This window comes from Homo sapiens, chromosome 14 (genome assembly GCF_000001405.40).
Source record: "Homo sapiens chromosome 14, GRCh38.p14 Primary Assembly".
In the NCBI taxonomy this organism is placed as follows: Eukaryota; Metazoa; Chordata; class Mammalia; order Primates; family Hominidae; genus Homo; species Homo sapiens.
Window position 1 is genome coordinate 47,650,818 of NC_000014.9, and position 26,628 is coordinate 47,677,445.

General features: G+C 41.4%; 1 protein-coding gene across 4 annotated transcripts in view, besides 1 other annotated feature; it reads right to left on the reverse strand.

Annotated features, from left to right (window-relative positions):
• The window catches only part of MDGA2 (MAM domain containing glycosylphosphatidylinositol anchor 2), an 835,983-nt gene extending 811,195 nt beyond the window's left edge, over window positions 1–24,788 (reverse strand). For all 4 annotated transcript variants that reach the window (NM_001113498.3, XM_011536522.4, XM_047431051.1 and 1 more), the window contains exon 1: window positions 23,700–24,788. In NM_001113498.3, coding sequence (NP_001106970.4) covers window positions 23,700–23,979 — 280 coding nt within the window. In that variant the 5' untranslated portion in view covers window positions 23,980–24,788. The remainder of the gene's footprint in view (window positions 1–23,699) is intronic.
• Window positions 25,525–26,024: an enhancer, noted in NCBI's record as "H3K4me1 hESC enhancer chr14:48145545-48146044 (GRCh37/hg19 assembly coordinates)". NCBI's record gives its function as "activates a minimal SCP1, AML or CMV promoter by ChIP-STARR-seq in primed H9 embryonic stem cells {active_cell/tissue: H9 hESC(primed)}" and the evidence as "EXISTENCE:reporter gene assay evidence [ECO:0000049][PMID:30033119]".

Sequence of the window (26,628 nt, forward strand, 5' to 3'; positions counted from 1 at the left end):
TGTTATTGTTTCTTTTGAATTGCATGATGGTAGGTAGTGACAGTTTTCTTTTTGCAAACTTTTATTCCTTGATTTGACCCACTGCCACTATGACTGCTGTCACTCAATGATTCACCAAAAATTGGGTAAATAATTATCTTACTTGGTGTTATTATTTCTTAAAAGTATGTGTAACTAACATTTATTTCAATGTTTAATATTAGAAGCTTTTTGGGTCTTTATTTAGAAATTCAGTGATGATTTTGTGATCAAAAATATACCACAGGAACTTAACTGTCATTTATGTTAACTAGCCTATGGTAAAGTCTGTTTCATTATATGTCATTTTGCTTAAAGTCACAGTTTTCAAGAACCTGTAGATGACCTTAAGGGAGATTCTGTGTGTGTGTGCATGTGGTGTGTGTGTGTGTGTGTGTGTGTGTGTGTGTGTGTGTATACCCATAAATACCTATACACACATATCCTATTGGTTCTGTTTCTCTGAAGAGCTCCAATACAGGGCAGACATTTTCGGAGCAATGGATAAGCACACACAAAGACTCTGAGGCACGAAAGAACTTAGCGCTTCCGTGGGATGAAATAAAAATCACTGTATCTCCACCACAGTGCTTAAAGGGAGAAGCAATTCAAGATGAGGCAGCAGAGTGGGCAGGGCCATATCTGGAGTGTGTGAGAATGATAGTAGAGGTTCAAATTTATCTTCAGAGGAATGAGAAACCACTGAATGGCTTTCAAATCAGAAGAGTGATGTAATCTGCTGTTTTTTTTTAGCCATCACACAGGCTTGATGTATGGATGTATGTAGGGAGTTATATGAAGCATGAGGAAGGGGTACTCACAGGGCAAATGGGAGAATAATGAAGAGAATACTACATTCGATGAGACAAAATAGAAACATGGAAGGGATAACGGTGGTGGCAGTGGTACATCTGAGATCTATTTTGCAGAACTGCTCCCCAAATAAAGGTGACGATCTGCTTTCAGGGATAAAAACGAAAGGTCAAGGTCAAGCATGACTTTCAGGTGAATGATATGTGGACCTGGGTGACTTAATGAGAAGAGGTAGGATGAGGAGAAAGAGTTGGGTAGACCAAGAGTCCAGCTTTTGACAAATTAATGTTGATGCCTTTGAGCACTCTAAGTAAAAATGTGAAAGAGACAGTTACACATACGGATCTGGAGCTCAGAACAAAGACCTGATATGAAGTGTAAGTTTAAAAGTTGGCAGACAGGGACAGTATTTAAACTGCCCAAGGCAAGAGGGTGCATGGTGAGAAAAGAAAGAGGGACAAGGACAGAAATATAAGGATCTTGATTACTCGTGATTGAGGAGAACAGGAAGAACTAGCAAAAGATATACAGAAGCATTAGTTATCAAATATAATTATCTGCTAGAAAGTATTATTGCTTTCTTTTGCTATAAAGTACTATCAGAACATCTGAAGTTATTTTGGAATAAAGAAGGTTATTTACACAAAATTTATATACAGTCCATATTCCTCTCATCTATTATTCCTGAGAACAAAGTTTTATATAGACATTATAAATTATTCACAGAGAAATCGGAACTTTTACTATACATACATAACAGCAATAAAAGTATCAGAAACACATGAATGTTCTTAAATGTTATATAAATGAGACTAACTCCAATGATGGCAAAACTACAAAGTCAGTTTCCTTTATCTGAAAATACTGATTTGTTCAAGTTATAATTGTTATATGTGTTGAAATAGAATTAAACTTTGATTCACAAGTAACAAGCTTATAAAGATGATATTAAAATTTCATTAAAGTTTCAGGATTATATAATTATTTGCTGAGTTAAAACAAGTACTGTAAAACATCAGCAAACCAGGCAAGTGGATATTGCATAAAAAATTAGTACCTTATAACTCTTTAGTAATTTTTAAAATTGCAAAGATCATTTCAGTGCTGCTCCCCTCCCCCCAGGCACACACAAATATTTATCCAGCAACTGATAATTAATAGTGGAAAGAAAACATATCACTTTTAATTTTTTCAAAAAAGTAAAAATGAATAAGAACTATAACTCAGAGTCAGAAATCAGGATTTCAAAATCCCTGAGGAACTGACCTGTGTGGCCCAGATTCTTACTACACCATGGGGAAGTAATTGAAAGTCTGAGACAGATTCAGGCTGAAGCACTGTCTGACAAACTATCTTCTCTCCATTTTTATCCTGCTAACTTCCAAAAACCAACTCATGGAGCCACTGGTGGATATGAGTGCTATCCCAGTAGAACCTCAATATCCCATAAGAATCTTAGATGGACAAGAAATAATCCTCACCATAAGAACATGTGAAATTGCCACAGTTAAGGTCTTTTAAAATAGAAAAATCAATTTTCTATGGAACACAAAAAACTCAGGAAATACGAACAAGACAATAGCAATGATTTTTCCAGGAGAATAGATTTCATTCATCCAGGAAATACTGTGGAAGCAATAGTTCTTTGCTGAGATTTGCTGAGATCTATGGCTGAGATTGCTCTTGAGCTTTATGTAATTCTGTCTTCTCTAGGTGAACTGGGATAATATATCAGAGGAAGGTAAGTGAAATGTCGCTGGTGCTTAAAGAGTTGGGGGAAGTAATAATTACAAGGACTACAAAATTAGATGGTTATCTCTGGAGGCTACCCACGCATTTGAGAAAGCCAATGGAAAATGGAAAGATGACACTGATGTATTACTGTGGTAAGCAGTAATAAACCAGTAACAAACCAAACCTCGCCAAAAGAAGTTCACATCCTAATTCCCGGAAACTGTGAATATGTTAGACTGCATGACAACGTGGAATTAAGATTGTAGATGTAATTAAAGTTGCTAATCAGCTGACCTTAAAATAGAGAGGACATCCTGAATTATCAGGGTGGGTCCAATGTACTCAAGGGTCTCAGAAAGTGCAAGACAGCGGAAAAAGAGGAGAGTCAGAGGGAGACAGGACTATGGAAGAAAGGCACAGAGAGATGTGATGTTGTTAGCTTTGGAGATGGAACAAACAGGCCACAAGCCAAGACATAAAAGGAGGCTGTAGAAGTTGGGAAGAGCAAGGAAATGGATTCTCCCTTAGAGCTTTCAAAAAGAAGTGCAGCTTTGCTGACCCCTTGATTTTAGCTCAGTGAGACCCATGTCAGGCTTCTGACCTACATAGAGAACTAATATTGCTTAAAACCACTAAGTTTGTGGTAATTTGTTACAAAAACAAAAGAAAACTAACACAACCATCAATTTAAGGCCAAAGATCTTCCCATGGAGTAAATAAAAAGAAATTCACCTCTACAAATTGTGTAAAAATTCCTTAGGTTCAGGTACAGAACTTAATTATAAGAGCAAAGCTCTAGATATGGTTGAATTCACCTGAAAAGTCAGCTACATGAAAGTAAGGGTGCAAATTAGGAAAATAAAGAGCCCTAGAGATAACAAAATCTAGTTTGATGCAGTCAATAATCTCGATCATCAGGTTCCTATGGACACTAGGTGCCTACAGAAGTCTCCCTGTTAAGAGACTAGTGTTTCCTGCTTGAAGACAATGAAGATGACTCTTCCCTGAAAAAGAATGTAAGTCCCACCCAGGATTTTCCACCACCTCCTCTGCTGGCCAACTGGCTAATAACTAACGGTAAGTCACAACTGGCTGAAGTGCTAACCCTTCAAAAGGAGGACAGGGACAATAGCTCAAAAGAGCCACAGGACCCAGCCAATATGTTCCAGTAGAATCAGTAGAATAACTTTGGAACCAATTCTGAAGATGCTGGGTCACCAGAGAATGGAACATAAAGTTGAATAACTGAGAGTTCCAGTTATGAAGAGATCTCCACCTATGAAGACAGTATATTTCCCCTTAGAATATATCCCCAACTCTCCTACTGGCAGCCAAACTCATCACCAGGGTTAAGTTACAAATTAACCCAGCAATGAAGGTGCTTAGATTACCAAGGGAGAAAAGAAGAAGAAAAAAGACTGTGCTCTGAAAGAGGCAGATTTAGCCAATAAGTACTGGCAGAAGTTAGAAGAGTGTGTATATGAATTGATTCTAAGGACGCTAGATTAAGATGGGAAGGAATATAATGTTGGATAAGAGAGGCATTTTTGATGTGGGAGGACCCTCCCAGGATACAGGATTTAATAACACCCTGATGATAATGTTGCTAGGATAAAGACAGTATGGCATTCTAGACAAAATGTAAGATATCAGTACCACTTTTAAAGATCTAAAGGAGGCACATTTTATAGTCCTCATTGTGCCCTCCATTTTATTCACCACTCTTGTTGATAAACAAGCAGATAGATGCTGGAAGTTGGAATTGAACTACACAAATTCAACCAAGTAGAAGCCCCAGTTGCAAGTGCTTGGCCAGTTGCAGTATCTTTGCTACAGCAGATTAATCCAACTTTAGTTCATGGTACCTGGCAATTGATCTAGCAAAAACACTGTTATCCATCTCTACCAAGAAGGTGAACCAGAAGCAGTTCTCATTCACATGGACATAACAGCAGTACGCATCTTCCATCCTGACCCAGGATTATAATAACTTTTCTGTCCTCTGCCATAATACAGTCTGAAAGAATCTGAATGTATTGGATATTAGAAAGAACATTACACTGGTCCATTACATAATATCAATGACATCCTGTAAGAGAACCGAATAAGCAAAAAGTGGCAAGTACTTCGGAAGTCTGGGTAAGACATGTGCTCAGAGGATGGAAAATAGACACCTCCTCAGTGAGTTGTAGGAGTCTATGGCCTGAGTCATGGAAAGACAATCTTTCCAAAGAGAAAGACAAATTGATGCACATTCCAAAATAAAAAGCAATCTTCCAAAAAAAGAACAAATTAGCTCACTTTCCCCATCAATAAGAAGGTAGCACAATCCATAACAGAACACTTTAGATCTAAGAGAGAACACAGTCCATGCTGGGAATACTGTTCTGACCTATTTACCAGTGCCACAGAAGGATGCTGGCTTGGACTGTGGCTTAGGGCAGTTAAAGACCTTGGAGGAGGTATAGGTTCAACTGAAGAATTAATTCCTCAAGCTTAGACCATATAATCCCACACATCCCATGATATTAGAAGTATCTTTAGTGTGACAAGCCACACGTAAAGTCTACGGCAAGTCCCTGTAGAAAAATCACAATGTTAGCCACTGAAGGTTTTTCAGCAAGCCTGTGCCATTTGCAATATAGAATTACAAATCACTTGACAAACAGTTTATGGCATACTACTGGGAACTTACTTAGGCAGAATGCCTGAAAATAGGCAATTAAGAGACCATGGTGCCAAAAATGTCCATTATAACTAGGTTTTGTCAGCCAAGTCATAAGATCAAGTAGGTCCTGTAGCAATCCATTATTAAATAAAAATGATACATTTGGGACTGAGCACAAGTAGACAGAGAAAGCCCAAGTAAGCTATATGCAGAAATGGCAAACCCCTACATCTTTCCTATTGCACTGCCTCATTTCCCTCAGCTCATCCCTATGACTGCATGGGCAGTCCTGTCTAACCACCAAGTTCAAGACAGGTTCACAGATCAGTTAGCTCCACATGTGGTATAAACCAAAAAGGTACTGCACCTGCCCTGCAGCCCCACTAATGGGTGCCTTCAAAGAGTGCAATGAGAGAAAATATTCCCAATGGGGTACAGCTTCAGGGACCATATAAGTTGTATGGAAAGAGAAGTGGCTGCGGTAAAAATAAACATAGTCTTATTGGCAGCAGTGAATAACTTAGCTGATTGTTGGCTGGACGCCTGCAAAGAGAAGTGACAGAAAATCAGCAACAATAACTCAGAAAAACAGGCATGCAAATGTACCTCCTATGGGAGTGGGCACAAAGTAGAGAGATCTTTGTAGACAATGTTATTGTCCCCCAGAGAGCATCCACCACAAAAGAGGCATGTGGCAGATTGTATTCTTTTAAAAAGGCCACAACAATTTCTCCAATTCTACAAGTCCTCCATCAAATGTAAACTTAACATTATTCCCATAAAGAGGTGTAAAGAGGTGGGATTTATAATCCCTTTCTTTCAACCTGGGTGGACCTTTGTCTCTGCCTCAAACTATAGAGCGTCACGGAATCGATGCATGTAACTTCCAAGGCAAAATTCAAAGCGATCCTTTGTACCTTTTCAGGATACTTACTCTTAGAATCCTCACACCGTGCTGTAAGAAAGCCCAAAGTTTTCAATTCAGCCAAAGTCCCAGCTATCTGCCAGAGTCTCAAGTATCACATATGTCAGTGAAGATGCCAGCAGATGATTCCAGCCTCCAGATGTCAAGTCATCCTCCACCTCCAAGTCTTCCCAGGTAAGGGCTCAGAAATTACGGGGCAAAGATAAGCCATTCTGAATATCCCTCATATAAATTATTGGCCCACAGAATCCACGAATATAATAAAGGGAGTGTTTTATACCACAAAGCTGGGGTGGGTTGTTACAGAGCAATAGCAATTGGAATCAGAATACAGAATAACTTGATTTATTGATATTAGTCAGCTTGCCATCAGCTACTCCAGTGTTGCATCAATAGACACAAAAGGGAAGAAGCCGTAGTGAAAATTATAGACATTATCCATATACTGAATAGCAAAAGCTCCCATTCATCAGCATTGAACTAGCTAATGCTGCTGCTAAATGTCCAACCTGCCAGCAGGAGGGACCCTGATGTACCCCATTCCTCAAGGAAACTAACTAGGCATTTGGTAGAAATTGAGTACAATGGACTCCATTTACAAATGAAAGATTAGAAATTCATCTTGATTGGAACTGACAGTTACCTTGTGCCTACAGTGCCCCATAAAACACATCAATGTAAGAGATTTCAGAATATGTGATATACCTAAAACAGGATCTCTCCTAACATTGTACTAACCAAAGGGATCCACTGAACAGAAAAGAAGGTGCTGCAATGATAATGGAATTTACTGGTTCTATCACATCATCTAATAGAAAACTTTTGAAGGAGCAGCATTAATTCAGCAGCTTGGAGATGATACTCTTAAAGTTGGACCCCACACTTGCAGGATATGACACAGTCCTAAATTAATGACTATTATATGTAGCTGTGTCCCCAGTAGGTAGAATACATAAGTCCAAGAACCAAGAGGAGACAGTGTAGTATCCTCAGTTATCTTCACTCTCATGACATATGTAGGGTACCTGTGCTTCCTGTCCCCAGAATTACAGGGCCTGTGTGGCTAAGATGTGTTGGTTCCCAGAGGGGGACACTTTTCTTAGGGACAATAGCAAAAGTCTCAAACTCCTGTGACAGTTGTCACCTGTTTATTTGGGCTCCTTATGCAAAAGACAAGCAGGCAAAGAACAAAGTCACTTTTCAGGCAGGGATAATAAATCCTGATTGTCTGGAGGTGGCAAGGCTGCTGTTATGTAACATGAGCAGGGGAGAAGAACTCTGGCACCCCAGTGACCCACTTTAAGTATGTGTTGATGCTCTCTTACCTAGTTCTGGTAGGAAACCGATAAATCCATCAGCTGTGACCTGAGAAGATCTTGGTGACCAAGATCTTAGGCCCTTCAGCTCACTTTGCCAAGTTCACAATCTAATCCTTTAGAATTGCTAGCTAAGGGTAATGGGTTCTAGAAGAAGTAGTAGAAAAGAGGAATGATGAGTATCAGACACGGTTCTGAGACCAGACATAAGGGCTGGCTGACGTTTGTCCTGCTAACCATCCTCTTTTGTGAGTTTCCTTAAGATAAAAGGCCAGCTCCTGGAGGGCCAGTTCTCAAACAGGATAAGCAAGCAGATATGAGCAACAAAAGCTGTCTAAGATGGGGTGTAACATTCAGAACTCCTTCTGCATGAAGAAGACATCCACTCTCCCAACTTCCAAGAGTGTTACCTGATGATTGCTCACAACTGAGTTCCTCCCAGAATTTGCCTTCCAGTAAAGGGAGCTGCCTAACCCAAATATATTGGCTCTGCCCCAGGGGCAACCCACGTCCAAGGACTGGTAGAAAAGAGAGTAAACAGAATTCTTTCTCTATTTGGAATATCTCTGAAGGTCCATCCCAACTCTACAGCATCCCATGCACTCAGCCTAGGACTCTGTTGCAAGTGAATCAGAGTTCACCTTCTCCCTCTGCTCTTCCCAGGCTCCCTTCTTCCCTTACAGGTGTTCTTCCCAACATCACTCTCTAATAAACCACCTGCATGTAAACCTTCCACTTGGGGTCGGTTTCCTGGAGAAGTCAACCTATGACATGAACACACTGCATTCTGCTTTGATCTATTCTATTAATCCTCATGACATGAAATCCTATCACCCTGCTATGTCAATAAATTTATTCCTATTTCTCTAGGCTAAGATTATGACCAAACTAACACATCTGCTCCTACCCATGCAACTTCAAGTCTAATCCCCAGAGCAGAGCACAATAGTAGGTTGAAATTCTGCTTTACTATTTTCATTATTTGCTTTATAAATAACTTTCCATCTGTAGAAATGCTGAGTCTTTCATTACTACTGTGAAAACCTCTGAAATGTCATAATAATTGTTGGGAGGGTGACAGCTATGTAAAATGAATGAGAAGCAGTCAATAGTTAAGCCGCTAAAAATATTCTTAGAACAAACTTAGAAATATCTTAAGAAAGTCTAAATTAGCTTTCGTCACAGCCAAAGACATTTAAATGGCATTTTTAGGTTCATAAGATATTTTACCTTTTATTTTACTTAAGAAACTGTATTCCAGCTTTCATGGATATTATTTAATTATTGTTGGTAAAATTAAATGATAAACCACAACATAGAGATGTACTTAAATCTTAGGTGTATAAGTGTATACCTCAATTATGAAGTCACTATCCACTCTCACTCAAAATAGAGCATGCATCTAATATATCACAAAATGCAAAAATTGGAAGCAGAGAAAGACTTTAAAAAGGTGTACTATATTCTATAAGTACTCCCAAATATAGAACTAAATGTGTAAATTGTAAAATCACGAAATCTATTAAACTCTTATGAACTTGGATTTGACTCATCTTTTACTCTATCCTTTACAAAGGCTTCCAGTTTAATTTGAAATTTTTAGTTACAAAATGCATGATGGCTCCACCATTTAACATTAGCGCTATTTCCAGTGTGCAAAAAGTCATATCCCATTAGTTTCAAGCATTTGGTCAGATATTAGGAAGCCATTGCTTAAAGAAGGAATTCACAAAATCAGTGCTTCTCCATGCTTTTTTTTTTTAAAGAAGAGATCTGGCTTTGAAATACAATAACAACAGTTATACTACAGAATTAATGAATTGCCAATTGTAAAATGTGAATGTATAATGAATTTCAGGGCAGTGCTCTTGCAGCCAGACTGAATTAAGAGTTAAAGTTCTAAAGACTCAATTGCCTCTGAAAATTTGAGGGGGGATGTTTATCAGTTAAAGAAAACATCAGCTGCTTAGAAATGCATGGCGCTACAGCTGAATATAATACCTTTCCTGTTCTCTCTTGAAATGGTTTCCTATTGAAGCAGTTTCTGTATCAATCACACAATAGTCACAATGATACAGGGTTATACTATAGGACACAATAACAGCATTCAAAAAGCATAGGAAAAATGACTTTTATAGTGGTAAATACTGTAGCTAAAAGCCTAAAACAAATCACTAAACTGCACTAATCTGTAAGCTTTGAGGTCTGAGGAACTCACTGTCAGCTAAGAGAAGGGCAGAGCTCGCAATCAACTGTCCTCTTGAACACAACAAGATTGTCAAGAAAAGAAATCCGCTGATAGAGTCTCCTCAATTAACTCTGCGCGAAAAATGCCCAAGCAATACTCGGAGGGAACTCAACAAAAATCAGGCCAAATATGACATTTAACTATCAATCTTTCCAAGACCAGCGATTGTTAATCAGCCTAGGGAGAAATAAAGTAGTACACCTGACAGTGGTTATTTTTTATAAGCACATACCTACTATTTTACATGGAGGAATATAACTACTTCTGCAGAATATGTAGTAGAACCATTTCTTCATTTTTACAGGTTACTAATTATGAATAAGCTTAAAATATCCTATCATTCCAAAAATAAATTATATGAGAGAGAGTCCTCAGTATGGGCATTTCAATACTGAAAAGAAAAAAGAATTATAAAACATATCTTTCTTTTCTAAGAAAGAAAACCATATGGTATAAAGTGCTGACATTAGCTACCTACATATACTTCGCATGTGACAAGCTAAAATGTATTATTACCCAAGTTGCATTTCAAGTATATACTGTTTAAGATAATTTTCATGCATAGCACAATGTAAGCTACCTAACTTTTATGATTTAATTAGAATAAGTATAAGCACACACATATCTGAATATAATTTTAATAATATAAATAAGTATAAATACAAGTATTTACTTTTACATACATTTCATATTTGATTCCAAATTCAGCCACCAGTAACTATATGGCGGTTATTTAAACTTCATGAGCTTCAGATTTTGCATCTATCTCATACAAAGATTAGTGCATGGTACAATGTGTATAAAACTTCTAATACAAGGTGTGGCATACAGTAGGCACTTGATAAATGGCAATTATTTTATGAAAAATTACTATATCTCATCTTTAATTATTTTTCAATTATAGGTGAAAAAAGATGAAAGATAATCCAAGTTACTTAAGTTTTGTTTGTGCATGTATTTTAGAATCCAGACATGAATATAGATATGCCTGGTGCACTGAAAGCTCACTTATAAAGAATAAAATACAACTTAAAAGACCTGATTAATAGAACGGCAGGGATGGTCTTCTGAATATGCAAGTGATGCTAAGCTTCAAATATACACATTACTGTAATGCAGGTGGAATAAACTGCACATGCATTGCTGTTAGGCAGCTAAGAAATATTTCTCTTTTGTCAACTGCAAAAAACGAAGTAATCAGAGTTTCTTTTTTTTTTTTTTTTTTTTTTGAGACAGAGTTTCGCTCTTGTTGCCCAGGATGGAGTGCAGTGGTGCAACCTCTGCCTCTCAGGTTCAAGGGATTCTCCCGCCTCAGCCTCCCAAGTAGCTGGGATTACAGGCACCCGCCACTACGCCCGGCTAATTTTTTGTATTTTTAGTAGAGACAGGGTTTCCACATGTTGGGCAGGCTGGTCTCGAGCTCCTGACTTCAGGTGATCCGCCTGCCTCGGCCTCTCAAAGTGCTGGGATTACAGGAGTGAGCCACCGCACCCAGCCAGTAGTTGGAGTTTCTAAAGGTAATTTTGTAAACCCATGAACAATAGAAACATGAATGTATCACAAATATTCAAACACAAACTGAGTATTAGGTGAGAGACTGCATACTCTGTTGCCAACACTGAATTAGAGTCAGCTTTGCAAGGGAAGTGGGAAAAGCACCCAGTTTCTTGGGATTAGCCTAAATAAAGTTTAGCTACTATTCCATGCATTTTTTGAATACACATACGCACTCTTATATACTCTTAACATAGTTAATCGATTTCTGCTTGAACATGTAATATGTATTTTTTATAGTATACATGCAAATACTCTATATACAAACATATATTTGTATTATGAATGTGTGTATGTATATGCACATGTGCATGTGTGTGTGTGTATCTTCTTTAGCTCTCTCTGGAAGAGGGAAGGTGGTTAAACATAAGGGTGTCAAAGTACTTCTTTGCATAAGTAAGCTTAGAGATTAAGGCATTAAATTAGTATCAATGACGACAGAAAGTAAAACTGAAACACTGTTTGAAATATGAATCAAAAAGATATAATGACCATAGAGTTCAACTGCAAAATCACAGGAAGCAAGAAGAAGGCCACTTTCCACACCAGCTGCTGCAATTGGAGGGATGTTTGATAGTGAGGCACAGGAAATAATCAGAGAGTAAGCAGACTCTGAGTAACAAGACAGATTATTTCAGGCTGCAGTCCACTGGGAGTTATTCTAGTCTTGGGGAAAGACTGGGAGGTTTCTAAACCCCGATTTTCACAGTAATGATGTCATTATGGAGTTTATAATATTGTAGGGAATGGTCATAATGGAAAAGGGTTGCACTTCCTTAGACAAGTATATTTAGATAAATCTATGCACAACAAAGGAAGAACAAAATTAGTCAAAGGTTGAGCTTTGATTAATTGGGACAAAGACCTAAAACTCTAAAATGCATACAGCATCTCTGTTGTACAGGTGGTACAAACCAGTGTGAAACATGAACCAAATGAAAAATATAAGTTACTCAAAGGATGAGAGAGAGTCACAATAATGGCGTAGAGTAACCCATGAAAAACAAGGAACGAGTTCAGAACTGAAATAAAAGCATTAACTATGCCAATTCTTGATAATAACTTAACTCATTCTGAGATACCAAGTTAGACTGACAACTGTGAAATTACTTGGCAGTTGTATCTCTCCATATTACACAGTACTGTGTGTCTTTGCTTAAGGTGATTTGTTTAGCAAAGTCAATATTGCTCATTTCACATAATGGGAAAAATCTTCTCAACTAACAATTTTTGTTGTCTTTCACAGTCCTGAGTAAAGATTGCCTTCTATGTGGTTAAAGAGATACTTGACCAATATACTTGACTAATATTGAGTTAATATTCAGACATGGAGAATAATAATTGAATTAAGCAATTACAGCCATCTAGTTAATTATATGAATAGAGAATATGGAAGTGGACTACCTTCCGCCCTCCAAAAATAGAAAGTGTTTGCCAAAGAAAACGATTGCATTATGCATAAAATGCTTTCTTAGGTATGTGGCTGTTACAGTTTAATGGTGAGCAAAGTCCCACTCAGTCCTTTTCAGTTAATTCTAATTTAAAAATGTTTTAAATGATTAGGTGACTGGGTGGGAAACACCAATTCTGGTTACTTCTGGATCAAAACTAGAAGATGTGACACAGTAATTGTGTGATGACCCCATTTAATGGTTTATCCTCATTTTCTGTTTTTATGTATTAACTACCAATTATAAGTATTCTTATAAATAAATATATCCCTAGGTTATTTTTTCCAATTGGGTGGCTGATTTTTATAAACTGCTGTTTTCCAATTAGTCTTGAAATGAAGACTATTAATTAGTCTTGAAGACTATTAAGAATACTCTTACTCCTTGATTCAACAACAAGATCAATACACGTATTTGAACACACTTATAGATTTATATAAGCATAAATTTACCCATAACCATAAGGTTTAGGATACACTAATGTTCTCTGGAGCTCTCAAATGAGGGGGAGGATGCCAGCTCCTTGCTAACCACCACTGTTAAGGAGAAGAAGGAGAAACTCCTGGGTTATGTGGATTGAGAAAGGGAGACTAGCATAAGCAACAATATAAACTACACGTGCATCGAAATACAATATCAAATTGCATTTTCATGCACATATTTATAATACTTAAAGTGTTTAAAAATACTCAGTTTCTGTTATTTTCCCCTAGACTGACACAACCAGAATATTTTTTCCAGAAAAAAAATTACTTGGTCTCTGTTACCTTCTAGCTTCTTATTCTGGTCTAAAAACTAAATGATAGTCCTATTATGAGGTTCAACTGCTAGAGCATCTAAGTGTAGATTTTTAAGAACAGAAGGGAAACTCTCCATGCTCCCTCCCCCTTCTACTCCAGATATAAAAATGCAGCCATAGTTTCTTATTCTTGCTAATATCTACATTTCTTCTATGCATCAGCCCACTCTCCTAAGAGTTTACTCGATGTGGAAACTGAGGGATAGAGATCAAGATTTTTGCCTGAAGTAACACAGTAAAGCAGCAGCTGAACAAGAAGAAAGCCCACGTTACCCAACAGTTTTCAACTACATCATGCTGTCTTGCACTGTAATAAAAAACAATAATGAAAGCACATACCTCTCTTTTCACAAGGGCAATGCCTTCATCCCAGTGGCTGTACATTCGTAAAGAACGAAATGATTTTAGTCATTCTGGACCCATAGTTGCTGCTGCTAAACAGCACTTCTTTTTAGCACTCTAAAAATTTAGACTTTAAAAAGTCTTTGAGTTTACCTCCAAAAGGAGTTGCCCCCCACAGGAACTTTAGAGATAACTGTCCTACCTTCTGAAGAAATGGTCAGTTAGCTTCGCACATTTAACACACACACACTTCAGAATCTTGATGGACATATATATCTGAGCAAGTTCCAGAGTATCATACAATAAAATTGTATGATGACACAGGTTAAAGGACAGATACATCTTTCTAGTTGGGGTAAACTTTAAAGAAATTGCTGAGGCTTTATTACACACCCATTCCAGGACTACTTTTCTTTCTGCACCACTGTTCCTCCACCTAGAACCCACACAATAGCAATGCCCTTTCTTCCTTCTTTATCTATATTATGCCTACCCACTTTCAAGTCTTAACTGTTCCGAGCTTTTTCAAGTTTTCTCCAACCACAATAGGAAATGTAATTCCTCTCTCTTCTTCTAGATACACACATTTGTGTATTTCTCATAGCCTTATTTTATTTGTTTTTCCATTTGTTTCTATCTCCTGGATTCATGCATAACCTCTTTGATTTTACAGCACTTACTGAGAGGTGACAGTGTGCTGGCAGCCCTCACAACCCTCGCTTACTCTCTGTACCCATTCTGGCCACGCTTGAGGAGCCCTTCAGTCCGCCGCTGCACCGTGGGAGCCCTTCTCCGGGCTGGCTGAGGCTGGAGCCGGCTCCCTCGGCTTGTGGGGAGGTGTGGAGGGAGCAGCATGAGTGGGAACCAGGGCTGCGCTGGGCACTTGTGGGCCAGCTGGAGTTCCGGGTGGGCGTGGGCTTGGCGGCCCTGCACTCGGAGCGGCCTGCTGGCCCTGCCGGCCCTGAGCAATGGGGGGCTTAGCACCTGGGCCAGCAGCTGTGGAGGGTGTGCCAGGTCCCCCAGCACTGCTGGCCCACCAGCACTGCACTTGATTTCTTGTCCAGCCTTAGCTGCCTCCCTGCGGGGCAGGGCTCGGGACTAGCAGCCCGCCCCCTCCCTCGCCCCCCCTCCCCCCCGCCCCCGCCCCACCCCGCCCCACCCCACCATGGACTCCTGCGTTGCCTCAGCCTCCCTGAGGAGCGCGGCCCCCTGCTCCATGGTGCCCAGTCCCATCAACTGCCCAAGGGCTGAGGAGTGCGGGCGCACCACACAGGACTGGCAGGCAGCTCCACCTGTGGCCCTGGTGCGAGATCCACTGGGTGAAGCCAGCTGGGCTCCTGAGTCTAGTGGGAACTTGGAGAACTTTATGTCTAGCTAAGGGATTGTAAATACACCAATCAGCACTCTGTATCTAGCTCAAGGTTTGTAAACACACCAATCAGCACCCTGTGTCTAGCTCAGGGTTTCTGGATGCACCAATCGGCACTCTGTATCTAGCTAATCTGGTGGGGACTTGGAGAATCTTTATGTCTAGCTAAGGGATTGTGAATACACCAATTGGCACTCTGTATCTAGCTCAAGGTTTGTAAATGCACCAATCAGCACTCTGTGTCTAGCTTAAGGTTTGTAAATGCACCAATCTGCGCTCTGTGTCTAGCTGATCTGCTGGGGACTTAGAGAACCTTTATGTCTAGCTAAGGGATTGTGAATACACCAATCGGCACTCTGTATCTAGCTCAAGGTTTGTAAATGCACCAATCAGCACTCTGTATCTAGCTCAGGGTTTGTAAATACACCAATCGACACTCTGTATCTAGCTAATCTAGTGGGAATGTGGAGAACTTTTGAGTCTAGCTCAGGGATTTTAAACGCACCAATCAAGCACCCTGTCAAAACGGACCAATCAGCTCTCTGTAAAACAGACCAATCGGCTCTCTGTAAAATGGACAAATCAGCAGGATGTGGGTGGGGCCAGATAAGGGAATAAAAGCAGGCTGCCTGAGCCAGCAGTGGCAACCCGCTTGGGTCCCCTTCCACACTGTGGAAGCTTTGTTCTTTCACTCTTTGCAATAAATCTTGCTGTTGCTCACTCTTTGGGTACACATTGCCTTTATGAGCTATAACACTCACTGCGAAGGTCTACACAGCTTCACTCCTGAAGCCAGCAAGACCACAAAGCCACTGGGAGGAACGAACAACTCCAGACATACCGCCTTAAGAGCTGTTAACACTCACTGCGAAGGTCTGCAGCTTCACTCCTGAGCCAGCGAGACCACAAACCCACTAGAAGGAAAAAACTCCGAACACATCCAAACATCAGAAGGAACAAACTCCGGACACACTGCCTTTAAGAACTGTAACATCACCGCAAGGGTCCGCGGCTTCATTCTTGAAGTCAGTGAAACCAAGAACCCACCAATTCCGGACACATTACTACATAGCTACATGCATCATCTACAGCAGTTATACATTAATTAGTTGACTGAATTTATGAGAACTGAACCTAAACAGGCCTAGAGTTTCTGTGGGGAATTCAAACTGGTCACCACTTCTGAAAAGTGGCACATCTTCCTCCAGTATTTTCTTGCCTTCCTAGTAAGCAGTCCAGCACAGGTGAGGCAAAAACCCAACTCAGTTACACTCAGGAGTAAAAGACGGAATGCTCCAATGATCAATCTGTACCCAACCTTTCCTTGTGTTCCCAAATCCCACAATCCATCAGTGAGAAGAGTAATCTGGTTCAGAGTGACCACAGGCTCTATTAAGAGCCCTTTATCTCCTCATCCTTTCCTTTCAGGACACCAGAAAAATCTCCCTTAAGATGGTATTTCTTCAGGCAGACAGCAGGCATTTTTCTTTTTCATCCTGATGCACTACAACAAAGTTCTAGTGGCTTCAGATAAAAATATATGCTTTTGCTGTTTTGCCATTATTTAAAGGGTAGATACATTTTTCCAATAGCCTTTACTTCCTACTCACCTCCTTCAGATCTCAGCTGTCTTTTGTGCTGTCCATTAAGACTTAGAGACGCCTAGCTGTGAACAAACCCTTCCTCTTTCAGGAAGATGTGTTTCCCCTTCTACAGGATCACTTGATTATTTTTATTTCCACCATTCACATTACAACAAAACAAGACAAAAAATATACTGCTTGAAGATACTGTAACATGTCATACACATGACCCCAAATTTCAGCCACACCACAGTCCTTAATATAGATTTGAGCAGGAACAGCAAGAAACTGAGGTTCCTGTTTATGCAAAGTTGTAGAGACACAAAGTGTAAGTTACATCATAATTTCTAATGCCTTTCATCATACCATAATATGTATTTAAATAACAAATGTGTAATAGCCAAAAATATGTTTATAATAGTTGAAATCCTCTTCTGTAACTCCTAGGGAATATATCATTTGGATGTTGAAACAGAAAGCACAGATCTTACTCAATTCAATCAATGAAATCAGCAGGAAAAGAAACAGTTTTTAAAAATGTAAGATTAGAAATGGCATAGTGTCTTGGAAAAGTAGCAAGAAACTGATATAGAAAAGCTGAAATGGGATCAGTGCAAGGTGGTATAGTTAGAAAAGAAAATGGAATTGCACCGGTATAAAACGGAAATAATTAAGTACATGCCCCATTATTTTAATAAGAGATTTTAGTAATTTGTAAAAAACAAATTCATCTAATGAATACAACTGGACCCTGGAGAAAATAAGTTTCACAAACAATGCAGGACCTCCATCTGCCTGACATAATGGTAAAATCACTGTGCCTTGAGTTAGTGAGATGATTTAATGATATCTTAAAGTCTCTTCTCCCACTTTATGATTTTACAGGGCCAAAAGATTATTAATTGGATTTGAAAATAAAGATAGGATATAGTTTTCTATGAATGCAATATTTTATTGTTTGCTCTAAGTAATATAGTGTTTACACTCAGTCACTGAAGCAAAGAAACAAAAGTTATTTTGTGGGACCATTAAGTTAATGTCAATTACAAAGAAGCTAAAAATGTTCACTCTTTTCATACTTTAAATATATGCAATATACTTTGCATGTCCTTCCAAAATAGCCAAAAGGGAGCCTAAGGAAGACCTTATCTTATTTAACTGAGATGACAGCACATTCCCTTAGTTAATCTGAGCTACCAAAGAGCATAAGCTCTCGAGCTCAGTTCCCAGAGTAGGTCAGTGTATCTGGCTGTTTGCTGTTGCCTTTATAGATTACAAACCTTGAGCCCAACCCTTGCAAGACTCTTCTCAAAGCATGAGGATCAAATCAGAGAATATGAGTGATGAATCGCCTCTATACCTGGAACACAACCCAAAACCATGGTTCCTGACAATGTTTTAATAAAATACAATTGAACTCACAAGGCTTATGCTATAATCCCATCCCCATGAGTCCTACTGCAGTTACATTAAAATAATAAGTTTTAAAGAAGTACAGAGCACATCCTTGCAGAAAAGTTTATTTGTACCCTGCTTCTCAACCAGGGTTTAAGGTGTTTCACAACTATAAAACAAAAATAAAAATATTGGCAAAATATAAGTATAAAGAAGCATAACCAGAGATAATAAGATTAAGCAAAGAAATCAAGATCATGAAAAATGCCTTCCTGGAATTACTTTTGTGACATCTATTCACCGGAATTATTTCATCTCTAAACTTTTATCTCTGACTGTTAATTGTCTAAACTCTGGCACTCTCACTGACTTATTCATTGTAAAATAAGTTAGGCTCAACTTGCTCAATCTAAAATACTTATTAATCCACTTAGGGGCTTTCCCAGGGAAATATAGGACATGAGCAAGTAACACTATATAAAATAATCTGCCCATTTTGCATGTGAAATCTCAGTAATATGACCAACAAGGACAATTTTTGAATGGGCAAAAATGATCCCAAGATACAATGAGCAGCCCAGCCACTTTTCTTTCATGATCGTGGCCATGGTGGTGACAATATAAGAATGTGCATGAGTGTGTAGGGACAATGGAGTGAGAAGAGGAAAAAGAGGTTGGAGCTGATGGTATGTAATAGAGCTTCACATTGATTTTTTAACAGCATTTATTAAAATAATCTCTTCCTCTTTTCCTACAGACTAACACCCTAAATATGGTTTAGTCAAAGGCAGTATCTCATCACACGGCCTCTCCAAACCCAATCTGAAAAAAAAATCATAATCAATATACCTTCGGATAGCTTTGCTATGAGAATGGCAACATCCTGAGACTGAATGTAATGGCCAACTGACCATCCATGTCATTCTTATCCCTTCCTATCCATCCAGATTCAACCCACTAAAATACCATCTGAAATATCTTCCAGAGCTTTCTTGTGTCACTTATGCCCTTGTTCTTAATTTCACCAAGGCCATTTCTGTCCAGCTACTGCCTGGGCTGTCATTCTTAAATTGTATGAGATTTACTGATATTACCTGAATTGAGTTAATATAGCTTGCTAATTTGTCATACTCAAGTGTTTCTTAAGCTTACTCTATTTATTACTTCTAATGCATTCTGAAAGCTATTTTTGGACAGTGAATTAACCATTTCAGGACACCAAATCACCGTTTGATTTGGTTCCCAAAAAAGCTATTCAGACTTGAGTTGTATTTTGTTTTTTGTTTGCAGTGGGGATTTGTCTGTGCTGATGCATTCATAATGTTTAATAACTTCCTTGGAAATTAAAGGCATGATGACCAGAAGTAAAATTACAGAATATGTCAATAGAGTACTTCTTCTTTTTTTAGCAAGCCAACTGATAAGTTTACAGGAGATACAATTATTGATATGATGTCATTGTCAATAGGATCTCTAGAAAACACAGTTAACCCAAATGACTTACTACCATACAATGACTTACAAAGAAAACTTTCAAAACTAAGAAAATGCATTGGATCACTTAGCTCTAGGTACTTCAATAAGCATACAGATAGCTAGGTTTTACATTCCAATTCTTGAAGCTACATCGATTAGTTATCCTAAATCTAATGAAATGTGAGTGCAACAAAATTAATAACGTGAAAAATAGATACCAGTTCATTTAATGACTTTTTGTTATCCAGTGATGTTTAATTAAGCTAAAAGGAAAATTCAAACAAAACTTTAACATTCCAAGAGTATTTGGGAGAATTATTTTAATATAAATAACTTTTTAAAATCCAATAAGCAAAAATCTATAGCTTAAGGAAGTAAAATTTTTTAAATGCACATATATATATTGCCAAATATATATGTCAAATGGGTAGTATCCATTAAAATTGCCTTGGTTAGTCCATATGATTTTTTTGTGCTATTCTATTATGAAGAGGTTTTCTTGCAATTTTTCCTTCAGAAATATTTTCAAATAATTTATATTACTATAATGTTACATCTGATATTGAAAATGTAATAAATATAAAGTACAAATCCCACTTAAAAAATTTATAGGACAGAATTATTGGTGGAAGGCAGGCAGTTAAGAGATAATCTCCCTCATCCAACTGTGACACCATATATAAATCTTAGCTATTGTGCAGTTCGTTTGCTAAGCACTATTCCCAGATAAATGACAGTAAGTTCCTAGGTCTATAGCAGAAACTTTTACACTTAAGTATTGCACAGGGTTGTCAAACAGATTGGGCATAACAGGAAGAAGATTAAAATACTTGAGACAATATAATCCATGTGTTACAGCAAATATTCTCAATTCACTAAAAAACAGAATCTGAATTTCATGCTCAGAGTTTTTCAGTGAGGAAGTAGAGGAGAAAAGGGATACCCTAGCTATTCCAGGGAAGAAAGTTTATAATGACATAGTTCTCAATCATGTAAACAATTTTAGGCTACAATGAAGTGATTTTGCCTGAGTAACCTAGAAAATCATTTGTGTTTCCTCTTGAACCATGATACTAGAAAACACTATTGAGAAATATTACTTTGTGTGTAGTATGAATGGCTTTACATGTAGCAAATATAAGCAAATAAAGGAATACAGATTTTTATGCTAGCAAAGTTCCTGTCTAGGCTGTTGAAGTTTCTGTTTATAATAACCCTGCCTTTTAAATTAATCATTCTCAAAGTTATTCATATAAAATGTTCAAAACACACTTTTTAACTTTACACTAAATCTTATGTCTATGTCCTTTACAATTGATTCCTTTTTTTGATAAATTTAAAAAATGTTCTCTTCCTTATAAATGCTTCCACAAATAAAAACAAAACTACTTTAGGTTAAGAAAGTTCATGACTTACAAAATCAAAGCAATGAAACTGTAAGCCTATGTTAGTGCTTCTCAACTTCAGTGTCCACTGTAATCATCACTCGAGGTGATGAACACAAATCACTGGGCCCTACACTCTGAGTTTCTAATTTAGAAAGTCTCAGAGGGGCCCAAAAATGTGCACTTCAAACAAGTTCCAGGGTGATGCTAATGCTGAAGATTAGGGGCCTAATCTTCTTTGAGAACCTAACTTCTGTGACAGGTAAAACATATCTTAAAAGTAATACATAATTTTTAACCCACCTCATAGCTGTGACATTTATAATGGCCAGGAATACTGATTAATATTTTTCACACAAAAACAATTCTATTCCTGGCTACATGACTAATAACCACATCAATATAAAAACAAAACTAAATGAAAAAGACCCCCACTTTCATTACAATCATCAGCTCAGTAGCAGAACTGCCTCCTTGTTTATTGTTAACAGACATAAACACAGGATTATTTTAATGCAATTGTTTCCTATTTGTCTTCTCTGCTAGATCTTACCCTTTTCCACTACCCAATCTGAGACTTGCCAGGGCAAATAATCTGAATAACAAAAAGTGACAGGAAAATGGAACCATGTCCTTCTGATCCAGATAGTTCCAGCAATGTACCACTGTCTCCCCACGTCCCCAACCTTTCTCACTTCTCATCACCCCATCACACACACATACACTCACACATGCATACATACAAATTTAAAAAACAAACCAGAACAAAAAATTCCTTTTAGCTAAGATGATCTGAATCAATGAGAGAGGAATACAGAGTTAGGCATGGGATGAGAAGAATTCAGACTCTCCCATCCTAAGGAACAGCCCTTTGAGAAAGCTTTATCTCCAGCATTCCTACATCGCTAGAATCCCCGTTTTTCTCAGCTGTTCAGAGGGCACCGGGGTCCAGGATAGTCACAAGAGCACTAAGTTAATTCCTACTCTTTTCAGGCCCCACCTCCTGTTGTCAGTCAAACCTTGAGGTCTGCCAGGAGACTCAGCATCTCTCTCATACACACGTCCCCCCATTACCACAACCATCACCACCACGAGACAAGTTGTCTTTCACTTGGGAAGGAGGGGTTGGGAGAGGGGACATTCTGATCCTTAGAGTCGGGAGAAAGTGAAGGTTTCTTGGGAGCCAAGAAGGGAGCTAGAAACACAGGAAAGGGGAGGAGCAGATGGAGTGCAGTGGGTACCAGAGCTCACCTCAGCACTGTTCAGCCCTGGACAGAACACAGTGGACACAGTAAAGGCTGGGTCTGTAGCATTCATCCCCAAACACCCACCCACTGTGCACTCCGTTCCCAGAGAGTTTGAGGACTCAGGATTCACTGGCACCTGTGTCCACTCTGCAGTCAGTTCCAGGGTCTGCAGGGAAAGCTCTGACACTTCCACAAATATTCATTCCTTTTTGCCCTGGGTCAGCCATTGACTTAGTCCTGCAGCACCGGAGTCCAAACCCCTGAGTGAAACCAAGGGCAAGTGGGCTGGATTTTCAGCACACATTCTGTGGACACTGACTCAGGGGCGAGGGGTGGGACCGGCTGTGGGCGGGTCTTGGCTTGATGTCCCCTCAAGGGGTGCACCTCTAACCTCCCACCAGACCTCAAAAACACAGAAGTTATTTTTTGGGCACCACCTGCTTGTCCCAAGAGAAGACATACATTTTAGTCCACTATTAACTATGACCTGGATGTGTGTGTGTGTGTGTGTGTGTGTGTGTGTGTGTGTGCTTCCATCCTGAAAGCTAAGGGTGCCAACTGCTGACAGGCAAAAAAACCTGTATTTGCTTTTGAGGACTTCAAAACCTCCTAATTAACAAGCTTGCCCTTCTCTAGTTCCTAAACCTAAATCTGGGTTTTCCAGAGGGGAGATGAGATTGTGTTCCCGCTGCAGCGAGCTAGTGTCCTGCCCTGGAACCCAGACGCGCGGACTTAGCAGTCCGTTCATTCATGCACTTGCTCATCCATTCACACAAACATGTCCCTTAATTGTGTCTGGCACCGAGAATCTTGCCTGCTATTTTCCCCTCCCGAAGTCAGTGCTCATGGCAACCGCTGGTGCAGAACGCAACTCAACTGTCACCCCACTTCCTGAGCCGGAAAATCAAGGCATGTAGGCATTCACAGAAAAAGGAAAAGGTGGAGAGGAGGAGGCGGCGGGGGCGGAGAGGGGTGGGGAGACTCACGGGGTCACACTGGAAGCTTCCCTGGGGGGTGGGGGGAAACCGTGACACCGACACCGTGGCATGCAAGGAGCCAAACCATTATTAAATCAAAGACTGCTGGAGCTCGGATTCCCCGCGGGGATAAATCAAGTGCAAAGCCGCTCGTTCGCACGAGTGCGTTGCTGCCGGCTAAACCCAACTCCGAGCCAGAGCCCAGGCGCCGGGGAAGCGGCTCGCAGCCCAATCCGCAGCGCGCTCGCTGCCTCTTTATCGCTCCCAATAACGTGATGAAGTGTAAATCAAATGCCACGCCGGGAGGGGCCCCGGAACGGCGCGAGTCGTGCATTTTCGCTCACCAGCCTATCTTGCCTAAGAATCACAAGGTCACGATAGCGTCGCGATTCCACTCACCGTACACTCCTTGGCCAGAGATCCCCTCCAGGAGGACTGTCAGCAGCCACACGAGACCGTACAGTAAATCCATCTTCACGTGAACATGAACATATCCAGCCCAGGGGGTACGCAACGGGACCTTCAGGAGGCCGGCGGCCAGCCAGGCGCGCTCCACTCGCGCCCGGGCCAAGCCGAGGTGCCCGGGAACCGCTCGCCGAAGGAGGAAGCGCCGTCCGTCTGTCCTTCCCCGGCGGCGGCGGCGAGCGGAGCGCAGGAGCCCCGCACTCCACACACTCATGCACACACACACTCACACACACTCACACACTCTCCCACAACACAATACCCTGACACACACTCACACGCACGCCGCACTCACACCGGGTGCCTGGGAAAATCGCAGACGCCGGGGAGGAGCAGGGGGCGGTGATGGGAAGGGGAGCTGCGAGGCGAAGTGTTCTTCAGGGAAGCGGGCTCGAGTCTCCGCAGCTGCGGCGGCGGCGGCGGCGCGCTGGGCCGGCGGCGGGCGCGGGCAGGGGGCCGGGGGTGCCGCGCGGTAGGAGCCTGGCTTGGACAGCCGAGGAGCAGGAAGTGGCCTCTGACCCAGGACACCGAGCAGGGCTCTCTTGCCTGGATTCGCCTTTACAAAGTAACTCGCGAAGGTCCCCGGAGGGGCGTCAAGCGGCGACAGCGGCCCGCCCGCCCGCAGTCCGAAGCCCCCAGCCCTGCTGTCTTGCCTTCCCCCATTCCATCAGTTGCCATTGCAACGCCAATCCTGTTACACGATACAGACTCGCATCGCCGAACGGGGAGAGGAGGAAGAGGAGGAGGAGGAAGAGGAGGAGGAGGAAGAGGAGGAGTGGGGCTAGGGGAACGGGGGTGGGGAAGAGGGAAGGGAGGAGGGGGAAGAAGGAGGAGGAAAGGGTCCAACAGGGAGCGGAGTGTGCGTCTGGAGCTCGCTTGGGCACACCAGCCCAGCCGCCACCGCCACCGCTCTCCAAAATAGCCTTTAGCGCCCGGCCAGCGTAGAGGTGCTCTGGCCGGCCGCACCAATTCCCGGAGCCGAAAGCAGAGTCCAGGCACCGCCACTTGCAAGAGAGGGAGAATGCCAGGCAAATACCCGATCCGCACACACGTCTACGCGTGCCCACCGGCACTGCGCGCGTCCTCTTCGCTTCCGCGCCGCCCCCGCCAGGTGGAGGGGGTGGGGACGGTCGGGACAGGCGGGAGTTTAGAGGAGGGAGCCGCAGAAGGGGTTCCCCGCTTGAGCTAACGTAGTGGTGGCATCCAGAGGTGAACGCGGGAGCGGCCGCCTGCGGAGGGCACCCGGCTGCGTGGCGTCCGCTCGGGCCGCTGCTGCGGCAGAGGTGCCCTGGTTGGGCGGCTGGGCGCCTGGGGTTCGACGCCGGCCGGGATCCCTGGGTGTGCGCGGAGATGCGCGCCGCGGAGGCGAATGGAGGGAGGAGGAGAAGGAGAAAGAGGAGAAAGAGGAGAAGGAGGAGGAGGAGGAGGAGGGCGAAGCGGCAAGCGCGGGGCGCAGGCGGACCGGCGGCCGGGCTGCTGGGCTGCTGGGCTGCCGGGGAGGAAGGCTGTGTGTGGTCACGTTGTGCGCTACGTGCTGAGAGCGCGAGCTGCTAGCCGCAGCCGGGCGACGTCAAAGCCGGGTGCGCGGCTCTGCCGCCTGCCTCCGCGCCTCCTCTGCCCCTCCTTTGCTCTGCCTTCCTGTGTCAGCCGAGCTCATCAGTATGGACAACGCCGAAAGGCTCCGCGAGGCCGGCGGCATCTGGCCTCCAACCTCCCCCGCCAAAGCGCTCCCTCGCCTCTCGGGGAGCTCCGCGGTGGCGAATGCCCGTTATGTATTTCTGATGCCGCCGTCTGCGTTTGCACGCTGAAGGGCCAGCTACCACCTTAGACCCAGGGTAATTACATGACACGCTATCTCCTCTCCGCCGCCCAAGGTCTTCCAGGATCCGTTATGCTTGGCTAGAGGGCAGAACAGGCCACAGCATTTGGAAGTGGCAACGTTTCTTCTCTATTTCTGTCTTCTTTAAAGGAAATATGGTCATCACAGTAGATGAAGGCACTGGGGGAAGAAACACTAGGAGTTCAGAGATTAGTTTATTTTATATGCAATGTCTCCTACTAAAGTTAACTGCTTGGAAAATCTTTTCCTTGTGTGAAAGACAGGCTCTTTTGTTGGGGCAGAGGTAGCTCTAATGTTTCAGGGGCTTTAAAAACTTATAGGTACAAAAGGATTAGAAAATCTAAAGCATCTTTAATTTACATTGCAACAAGTGTGGAAATACTTCGCTAAAAATTAATAGGGAACATCTGGGAATATAGTAGTGTTTTTTTCCTGTAACCGAGATAATAATGTTTCCTGTACGCAGTCCACTTTGTTGAATATATGCTTCACTATTCAAACAGCATATGGGTAGGAAGTGATTGGTTTAAAACGCACATTTATACATGTGTTACAAAAGTAATTGCCATGGGAAATCTGGAGCACAGTATTCATTTATCTGCTCCCATAATAGGCTGGTAGGACACACTGCAGGTCCCTCTCCCCATGCTGTACTTCTGTTGGGGGTGGGGGACCCTAAGCACTGGAAAATGTGTAGTCCCCAGTCTTTCCCCAAGGTCCTTTTCCTCACTTAAATGAATTGTGCATATTATTTTTTATAGGGTGCGATTTAGTGCTTACCCTCTGGGTTTACAAGACATGAGAAACCAAACATTTTGAGAGGTCCCCCAGAGGATCATTCACATAGTGTTGAGAACCCGTTATTTTTGAAATTCCACTTTAACTAGATGGAATTAAGCGTCATACTATAAGTAAAGTCAATATGTGCCATTTCTGAAGAAAAATGAGTGACACTCACTGGTCACCTGTGGGGTAAAAATTGTCTCGTGATTTTAGAAATCTGCCTTTTGTGAGTAGATCATT